Source organism: Homo sapiens, chromosome 1, assembly GCF_000001405.40.
Source record: "Homo sapiens chromosome 1, GRCh38.p14 Primary Assembly".
Lineage (NCBI taxonomy): Eukaryota > Metazoa > Chordata > Mammalia > Primates > Hominidae > Homo > Homo sapiens.
In genome coordinates, this window is record NC_000001.11 from 172,631,654 (window position 1) to 172,642,289 (window position 10,636).

A 10,636-nucleotide genomic window follows, 5' to 3' on the forward strand; every position below is an offset into this window, starting at 1 on the left:
CCACATTTCTATACTAGCTCAGATACAAACAGAACTTGTCCAGGAGCGGGAAGTTTTATGCAGGAACACAGAAGAGTGGCACTGATACAGACAGGAGGCAATACTAGGGAAATACTAGGCAGAAAAGGGTGGGGTCCCTGGCAAAGCCCCACCCTCAAGCCTGGACCTGCTGCCCAAAGTGAGAACATCTATTCCTCGTTTCCCCCCTGAATGCTGCCTTTTCTAAAACCAACCTGGCCCACCTTGACCCCCATCCTGTACTCATAAAAAACCCAGGCTCCACCGGCAGAATGGCAGAGTGGCAGAGTGGCAGAGAAGGAGAGAAGAGAAGCAGCCAAACGTCGGAGAGAAGCAGCTTGACTTCAGAGGAACGGCTTGACAGTGGGACCTTGGAGAAAAGTTTGGCTGGGGACGGCCGAACTCCAGGAGAAGACTACCTTCCCACTCCATCCCCTTTCCAGTTCCCCATCCCACTGAGAGGCACTTTTATTGGCAATAAATTCCTCCACATTTACGATCTTCGATTCATTCATGTGACCTGATTCCTCCTGGATTCCGGACAAAGATCTGGGTGCAGATGCAAGAGTCGTCACACTGACCCTCCACTGAGCTATCTAACATTTAAGCCGTCCACAGACAGTAAAACTAAAAGAGTACGGTGTTTTAATGGAGGAAGATAAATAAGAGAGAAGGACACAGGAAAAGTGACATAATTCACTGATAACAGACAACAGGAAGAATAATCATGTCCCATATCAGCCTGGGAAGGTAAGAAAGGCATCATTACAAGGAGTAGAATAACAGCTCTCAAGCTGGTTCAGTGGGCAAAATATCTGGAAAATTTCATCAATGGAAAGGATGATAATAATCTAGGTCACTATTTCTGATTCAAGCCTGTGGGAACAAATGTGTTTCAGAATTTTAAAATGTTTTCATTTTGGAAAGGTAATGTCTAGCTCAGGCTACTATAACAAGGTACCATAAACTGGGTGGCTTAAACAACAAACATTTACTTCTCACAATCCTGGAGGTTGGAAGTCTGAGATCAGGGTGTCAGCAGGGTTGAGTTCTGGTCTATAGATGGCTGGCTTCTTGCTGTGACCGCATATGACAGAAATAGAGCTAGCTAGCTGGCTTCTTCTTACAAGGGTACTAATCCCATTGTTTGTGATTAGCCTTTTTTTTTTTTTTTTTTTTTTTTTGAGATGGAGTCTTGCTCCGTCACCAGGCTGGAGTGTAGTGGCGTGATATTGGCTCACTACAATCTCCACTCCCAGGTCCAAGCAATTCTCTTGCCTCAGTCTCCTGAGTACCTGGGATTACAGGCATGCACCACCACACCCAGCTACTTTTTATATTTTTAATAGAGACAGGGTTTCACCATATTGGCCAGGATAGTCTCGATCTCCTGACCTTGTGATCCACCTACCTCAGCCTCCCAAAGTGCTGGGATTACAGGTGTGATTAGTCAGCTCTCAGAACAATTGTTCATTGTTCTTCCCCACTTGGGGCCTTCCCCCACCTGGGGCCCCTTCTTCCTTGTTGCTTACTTATCAGGACTCCACATTGAAGATGTGAACACACTATCTATTAAAACTCATTCAAATATTGATGCTAAGTTTCAGTCATTTCCAGAATCTATTCAGTTGAACAACTTCTAAAATACTGAGGATGCTGGGTGCGGTGGCTCACATCTGTAATCCCAGGACTTTGGGAGGCAGAGATGGGTGGATCACCTGAGGTCAGGAGTTTGAGACCAGGCTGGCCAACATGGTGCAATCCCATCTCTACTAAAAATACAAAAAACAAAAAAAAAAATAGCTGGGTGTGGTGGTAGGCGCCTGTAGTCCCAGCTACTTGGGAGACTGAGGCAGGAGAATTGCTTGAACCCAGGAGGTGGAGGTTGCAGTGAGCAGAGATCACGCCACTGCACTCCAGCCTGGGTGACAGAGCAAGACTGTGTTGCAAACAAATAATAATAAATAAAATAAAATAAAATGCTGAGGATGATTGTTTCTTTCCGATGTCCCACACTCCTTCTATTATCTGTTTCTTGAAAGCCGCTTACTGTCTCTCCATTCAGAGCTATAAGTTCTAAATATTCTGCAATAAAATTAGAATGAGCATGGTGAATGTGATACAATTTTAAAAACTTTTTTGGTCTTTTCCTAGTTCCTGCCTGGCACCAGCTCCTATAACCCTTGGAATATCCAGAGTGATAAGAATGTCTTTTGTATGCTAATGATGACTGGTGGCTCCGGGACACTAAGGTAGCTTCAGGATGGAGGCTGGTCACAGGAAAGACAAATGCAGAGAGGGTTTGAAATTCTAGCCCCACCCCCAGACCTCTGGCGTGGGGAAAGGGACTAGAGACTGAGCTAAACACCAGTGGCCTATGATTTAATCAATTATGCCTAAATACTGGAAAACCACTAAATGACAGAGTTTGTAGAGCTTCTGGGCTGGTAAAACCATCCACATGCCAGGATGGTGGTACACTCCAACTCTGTGGAGACAGAAGCTCCTGCCCTGGGGGCCCTTCTGAACCTCACTCTATGAACCTCGTTATCTGGCTGTTCGTTAGTGTCCCTTGTAAAATGATAATAAACGGGTAAACCTAAGAAAAGTGTTTCCCTGAGTTTTGTAAGCCGTTTGAGCAAATTATTGAACCTGAAGAGGGGATCATAGGAGCCCCCAGTTGACAACCAGTTGGCCAGAAGTACAAGAGGTCTAGGGCTTGTGACTGGCATCTGAAGTAGGGATAGTCTTGTGGCACTGGGCCCTTAAGCCGTGGAGTCTGCACTAACTCTGGGCAGTTAGTGTTAAAATTGAATAGAATTGTTGGACACCCAGTTGGTGTTTGGAGAATCCAGCTGTTGGTGTTGGAAAATGCTTCAGAGTGAGGCTTTAATTATGGCAATTCTCAAACTGTGTTCTCGTGGAACATTCAGTCTCAGCTGAGTGAGGTACTCTCTAGAGTAGTTGAATAATGATAGGGTTTTAATGAAAAAAAAGTGCGAGAGTTCTTCAAACCGTGCTTCATGAAAACAAAATTCAAAGATAAACTTAACACAGTCAGAAAGGCACATTTATTTTCTAAAATCTAACCTGGTATCAAGGAACTCTGTTCAGCATTATGGAGTCCACGAACTCTGTCACTAAGACCAGTTTGAAATCCAAACAGATCTGTGTTCTGATCTTGACTCAGCTACTTACAAACTGTATGATTGTGGACAAATTATCTACCATTTCTAAGACTCAGTTTCCCTTTCTTTTATCTATCCAATCATATATCTATCAATTATCTATCATTTATTATTATCTATCACCTCTGTTTATTCACTTATCCACCTAGGATAAACTAGGCCGGGCGTGGTGGCTCACACCTGTAATCCCAGTACTTTGGGATGCGAGGCGGGTGGATCACCTGAGGTCAGGAATTCTAGACTACCCTGACCAACATGGTGAAACTCCATCTCTACTAAAAATACAAAAATTAGCTGGGCGTGGTGGCGGGTGCTGGTAATCCCAGCTACTTGGGAGGCTGAGGCAGGAGAATTGCTTTAACCCAGGAGGCGGAAGTTGCAGTGAGCCGAGATCATGCCATTGCACTCCAGCCTTGGCAACAGAGCGAGACTCCATCTCAAAAATAAATAAATAAAATTAAATTAAAAAGATAGACATTAAGCTATTCATCAATATCTATTTTTTTTTTCCATTTAGGCATTGAGGATGATCACACCTATGTCCTGCTCTAGCCAATAAAATGTGAGCAGAGGTGAAGACTTTTGTCCCTTCCAAGAGAAGCATTTAAGAGCTGATGCCAATTTTCCAGCTTTCCTTCTCTCTGCTGCAGTGATTGGCAGTGTAGACAGTGGAGCTTCAGCTGGTCAGGGTCCCTAAATGAAGGCACTGTTGATCCCACCCAGTATGGACTTGGCGTGAACAAAAAATACACTATTGTTAATGTTTGTGATAGACAGATCAACCTCAAGGAGGGTTTCCAGGAGAAGACAGTTCTCACTGTGGTGGGTATGACTTGATATACCAAACTCCAGGAAGGCAGAGAACTAGCTATTTACTTCATTTTGGTGTTCTATACTAAAGATTCTGAAAGCTCCTATCAAATCACAATTTATTAATTTATAACATTAAAAAATATTCATATAGCACAGATTATATATGTCAGGCATATGTTATTGTTATGTTAAACTGATGAGATTATGGAATTGTTTATTACTTAATCCAATTTCACTTGATTAATACATTGTCTTGCCTCTTCCAGAAAGAATTTAAAATTGCTTAAAGAGAAATACAGCGCAATAGGATAAAAAAGTGACTGAGTAAATTAAGAATAATATATAACATTTGCCTTATAGAATCATTGGGAGAAAACATATATATCCATTAGTGTCACTGATAATCACTAGATATAACGGTATGAGCTCCTTTATATGTTTGGATCCTTCTGTATGCCTAAGCGATGGTCCCTCCACACCCAGATACCGCTTTCATTTTCCACCATGAGCAGGGAAGACTTCCTTGACTTACAATTACAATCCAGTTTCCTTCACCCCACACTCATTATCGCCCTTATTTATTTATTTATTTATTTTTTAATTGTACTTATTTGCAGAACTTTGCTCCTTCATTCTGCTAAAACCGGATTCTTGTCACACAAGCAGGAAAAGTTAGGCATGCAGACACGTTGGGTGAGGGGAACAGAATTTATTGGGCGAGAAGGAAAAAAGAAAAAAAAAAAACTCTCAGCAAAGCAAGCAGGGTTCTTGCTAACAGGCCTCCATCTCACAGACTGATTCTAGGCCACGCACAGGAGCTGAAGAGGCCAGGCTCCTCCCCACTGCAAATGGCACGAACTTCCCCTGGGGCCCCACCGTGTTCTCCCAGTGCATAGGCCAGTTAGAGATTCTTCAGGGACCCTCCCTCTTATCTTCCTCCTGCATCTATCACTTATCACCATCTGCCATACTTTCTATTTTACTTCTTTATTTGTTTGATAAACATTAGAGTGGAAGCTGTATGAAGGCAGGGATCTTTGTTCACTGCTATCCCCAGCACCTAGTACAATGCCTGACATATATAATCTGTGCTGTGTAATATTTTTAATAAGTTACAAATTAATGAATTGTGACTTTATAGGAGCTTGCAGAATGCTTACAACAGAACACCAAAATGGGTGAAATAGTCAATTGCCGGGCTCCCTGGAGTCTGGGATATCAAGTCATACCCATCACACTGAGAACTGTCTTCTCCTGGAAACCCTCCTTGAAATTGATCTGTCCATCACCACCTTCCTAGCCTCTTCTCCCCTCTTCTTCCTTTTCTGCATGCTGGTTTTGAGACGTGCTACTCACTAGACAAACTTCAATAACCATAATAATGAGACGCAAAGTAAAATAATGATTAACCATTATTGAGCACTTATAATTCATCGATCATATTTGTTCTAGCTTCACAGCTAAGTACATTCCATTCATGATCTCATTCATTAATTTCAAAAAACTCTGCGGGCAGTGATATTATGATCCTTACTTGAAAGATGAGGAAATGTAAGCTTAAAATGCTGAATAATTTGCAGAAGACCATACAGTTCATAAATGGTAATGGAGGTGTTTTGGTAATCTATTGCTATGTAATGATCCACCAAAAAGGAAGTGGTTTAAATCAATTTACTATTATTTATCATGGTTCTGTGGATTGAATGGGCTCAGCTGAGTAATTCTCTCTTGGGGTCTCCCATATGATTGTGAATGGTTGCAGGTAGATGGCTTCTGGCCTGAGTGTCCAAGATGGGTTTCCTGTATCTAGCATCTCAGATGGGATGGCTTGAACCCTTGGGGACTGGCAGGGCATCTCACTCTCTTTCTCTGTGTGGTGTCTCCAGATTGTTAGCTTGGACTTCCTCACAGCATGGAGGCCTCAGGATAGTCAGACTTCTTGTGCGATGTCTGCCTTCTCATGAGCTATCCTTGGAAGCCCCACAGCGTCACTTCCCTTGCATTCTATTAGTTACACAGAAGCAGCTCACATTCACTGTGGGAGGGCATAAATACACTGGAAGGCATGACTCATTGTAGGGGGGTGTTTTGGAGACTCATTATCTTGGTGGAATTTTTAAACTAGACATTCTGAACCTAGGCTAGAGGTTGCAAACTCATTTATCTACATGGAACTGGCAGATGATTATGAGCAAGGAAGGCCTGAAGCAAGACAATTGGGACTGGGGCAGACTGTGCTGGACTGAAGAACACAGGTGTTATTAAAGGGGCACTTACTGCTCAGCACCAGCCGACTTTGCCTTACGAGACTACAGGCCCCTTGTTACTGCATCCTCTGAATTTTTAAAGGAAATTCGGCAACCTGGGTTTTTATACAAAATATCTTAATATGAAAAACCTGTTATTGGTCAAGCAAAACACTTCTGTGTTTAGCTTGTGGGCTGCTAGCTTGTGAACACTATTCTAGATCTCCAAGGTAACATCCACACGCATTAGCACAGCACACAAGGCCCTCATGACCTGCGGGGGCTACCTTGCCTGGCAGTCCAGCCTCATTTCTCACTCCTCTCTAACATTTGTGCATTCAGCAAGTATTTATTAATGCCTCCTTGTACCAAGTCTATTCTACGTTCTGGGGATGTAGCAGAGAGTAAAACAAAGTCCCTGCCCTCAGGGGGCTTACATTGTAGTTGGAGACAGACAATAAACAAAGAATTGTGTAAAATATCAGATGGCACTAAGTACCATAGAGAAAAATAAAGCCAGGTGAACCCTAGCTGGCAGGTTGCACAACATATCTTGCTCTCTTTTCATGCTCTCTTGTCTGCCTTGAATGACTCTTTTTCCTTTCAGCTTAACTGCCTTCTACCTATTGTATCACTTGGGGGCCTAGCTTGAGGGTTACAACCTCTGACACCTGTGATCCTGCAAGTGTGAAATTGATGACCGCCCTCCTTGCTTGTAAGGTACTTGTGTCTACTCTTACCATACGGTTATAACTGTTTTTTAAAGTTTATAGTTACTTTTCCATATCCCCCACTAGATAGTGAGTAAATTGAGGGTTTCTGCATATTCTTAAATTTTCCACGGATCTTTGTTGACTAAATGAACAGTCTCTTTGGAAAGATCTTCAAGGAAGGAGCTGCTTGGTGGGAGAAGAATTCTCCTGTCCTCTGTTTTTCTTTTCCTTTTCCAATAAGAAAGTTTCTTTCCTCTGCTCTCAAAGCACAAAACTATGCATGAGGTTATTTGAAAACCAAGTAAAAGGACATGGTTTGTGTCCTGTGGTTTGGGGGCTGGTTATTCATGAGTGTGAAATGTCTTACATTTTCAGTGAGTCACAGGAATGCAACTTTACCTGGTTGTGAGACATCAATACACTCATTCTGTTTGCATATTCATACACACACTCATGCATGAAAAAAGATGAAACACGTCCTTTATATCTACAGGCTGGGACTTATCTCTATGCATTTCACTAGGCAGATAAACAGGATGCACACTTATAATCGACAAAAATCAAACACTAAAATCTACTCCTGGCACTGCTCTATATCTACCCAGTATCTTTGACTTTCTGTGTGCTGTGGTTGTGTCTGGCTTCTGCTGCCTGGGCTTCCGGTGTGTGAAGCCTCCTTTGTCTAACATTCTGAGATCCCCTGTGAGTGTGACTGAGGCTGGCTTGGTTTTCTAGAAGACCCAGGAGTGGTTCTCCCTCTGCCCTGCATGTTGCTGCCCTATGGAACAAGATGACGGCTGAATTTCTGTTGCTTGGTGGAGTACACACATGTTCCACTGCATTCTGGAACGCTTGAGCTCTCGAGCCCAGACCGCAGAGTGCTGTGGGCAGATCAGTCTCTGATCTGTCTCATCTCTGGAAACCCTGATTCTCGTTATGTCAGAGCCTCTCCAAAGGAAAGTAACCAGGGTAGAATCCTGCATGAGGAGAGGAGCAGCCTTGGGCGGCAGGTGACTGCCTGTGAAGCTTGTGCCCTGGAAGGTTGGCTGTGGATAAATATCCACCCAAGGGCATAGCATGTGTGTGCCTTGCCTTTTAAGGGAGGGCTGGTTGAGGAACAGGATGGTCTGTTGTGGTTGCAGCTCCATGAGCAGACTAAGCCAGGCTGGCAGGAATGCCCAGAGGGTTCTGAGCAAACTTAGCAACGAGGATTCAGGTCACTTACCAGATTGACCATTTCTCTTTAATTGGTAATTTTCTTCATATGATGCTTCCAATAAAATGTGCCCAAAGGTTTTGTTGTTGTTATTTGTTTAAAAATAAAGCTAAAATAAATGGAGATAATAATTCTTTAAGCCCCATGTCAAATTCAGCCTTCCCCATGAAATATTTCTTCAGTTCCCAACTCTGTTCTTTCCTCCTTCTCCAGTCTAAATATGCCATCTCTCTTCTTTAACACAGTACTAATTTGGAGTCTTCTTAAAGTGTTTCTCGCACTTTCTCTTTTTAATGTAGTTACTGTTACATAAGAACTTCTCAGCTTCAGTGCTGTTTTTCTGACCGTGGACAATCAGGGTTCCTAGACTGACTTGTTCCTCTTTGCCTCCCTGAAGCAGTTAGTGTAGAGCTTTATGCCACAGGAACTCAATAAGCCACGGTAGAACCAAAGAGCTCTTAGCCTTGCACCATTCCCTTGCCCGCTCCTGGTGACTTGATGACCTGCACTGGCCACATGCTAGCAGGATTTCCAGGCAGACTGCCTAAACATTTCAAACAGATTGGGTCATGGCGGTAGAGCACATGGCGTGGCATGAGCTTCAGAAACGTGTTATGCTTAGACTTCCCATGAACTTTATAGCTACTTTACCGTCTGAGAGCTACAGACAATCTTTCCACCCCTGGTAGCTGTGTAACATCCTTGAGGACATGGAATATTTTCCATTTCATTATATCCCCACAATGGTACCTGGTGCCAGGTGCTCAGGAAGTATTGGTGGAGTGGTTGATTAGGTTGCCTGGCTTTGCAGGGGCTTATCAGTCTATAATTTACACCACTGACCTTCCCCCAAACTCCAGGGAGGGAAGAGGGACTGAAGATTAGCAGAAAATCACCCAGGAAAGACAATAAGAAATGAAGGCTTCTACTCAAAAAGTAGGATTTCTAGTAAGTCATGAAGGCTTAATGCTGTGTCTTTGTGAAAGGACTGAAGTCTGCCCTGTTTGTGCTGGATGAAGGCAGGGAAAGAAGGACTTTGAGATCGGGATGTCCATCATACATGATGGAAACTTGGGTTTTAGCAAGAGAGAATATGTAGTGGTGATGAACTCTAATTTCAGGCATTTAGGGGTACCTCTAATTGAAAAATTATATTCTGGGGACCTGGAAAGAATTGTGGGAGTCGGAGGAGGTGAAACCTCAACAAAAGCAGTTTCATATTCTCACACTGAAACTCAGTGGAATGTTAGGTGGGTGGGGAACTAGAGGTCAGCCCGGGATGAGCTCTTGTCTCCTGGTAAGCTCTGCTCTCCCACTAAAGCACCCTACTTAGGGCCAGGGCCCCCATTTGGGTGAAGTTAACCTTTCCTCTTCTCAGGAGCTGGCAGGACTCAGGCAGTTTTCATTGCCCTTTAACTTAAACTCTTATTCTCTTTAAGCATCTACTCAGTGTCCTTGTTGAGGGTATATTAGGTCTCTTTTGGTTGCAAATGACAGAAACCCAACTCAAATAGGCTTACACTGGAAAAAAAAAAAAAGAAAATTCTGACTTCTACAACTTAAAAAATTTAGTGATGGATTTCCCAGATTAAGGTCCAGTTGGAATCTGTCTTTGTCCATCTCTCAGCTCTGCCATCTGTAGACACTCCCATGTGGATGACCAGCCAAGCCCAGCAGAGCAAAAGCACTTCTTTCCCAGTAGCTTCAGCAAAGGTCCCAGAGCTACTCAGAAACAGTCAGATGGGGCATTGGACCATCCATAATCTAGTCACTGGGGCTGACGAGACTCATGGCTTTAATGAAGCAAGCTGGATTCTGTCCTTATGCCTGGAGCAGTGGGACCAGCTGCAACTGAACCATAAACGGGGGGAAGCACAGGTGGTTGCTCAAAGAAAATTGGACAGTTGTTAGCAAAAATGGGGTGATGGTTGCAGGGCAAATTTACACTACAATGGCCAAGTGCTGTCACTCCACAAGAACTCTGCTATGTGAGTTTAAGAGTGTTCAGCCAGGCGCGGTGGCTCACGACTGTGATCCCAGCATTTTGGGAGGCCAAGGCGGGTGGATCATTTGAGGTCAGGAGTTCGAGACCAACCTGACCAGTATGGTGAAACCTCTGTCTGTACTAAAAATACAAAAAAATTAGCCAGGTGTGGTGGCACATACCTGTAGTCCCAACTACTCAGGAGACTGAAGCAGGAGAATTGCTTGAACCCAGGAGGTAGAGGTTGCAGTGAGCTGAGATCATGCCACTGCACTCCAGCCTGGGCAACAGAGCGAGACTCCATCTCAAAAAAAGAAAAAAAAAATTTAAGAGTGTTCATATAGAAACACTCATTTCTCTCCATGTATGTTTTAAGGGCTGGGCTCCTGAAATTGGTTCTCCCCCTCCCCAGACCCCTCCTCATACCTTAAGAAGCAGGTTTTAAAATGTTGGATATT

The 10,636-nt window shown here is 43.5% G+C and overlaps 1 annotated feature.

The window, feature by feature from the left end:
• Nucleotides 6,884-8,083: an enhancer, noted in NCBI's record as "CDK7 strongly-dependent group 2 enhancer chr1:172607677-172608876 (GRCh37/hg19 assembly coordinates)". NCBI's record gives its function as "activates an origin of replication core promoter dependent on BRD2, BRD4, P300/CBP, MED14 and CDK7 cofactors, with strong dependence on CDK7, by STARR-seq in HCT116 cells {active_cell/tissue: HCT116}" and the evidence as "EXISTENCE:reporter gene assay evidence [ECO:0000049][PMID:35650434]".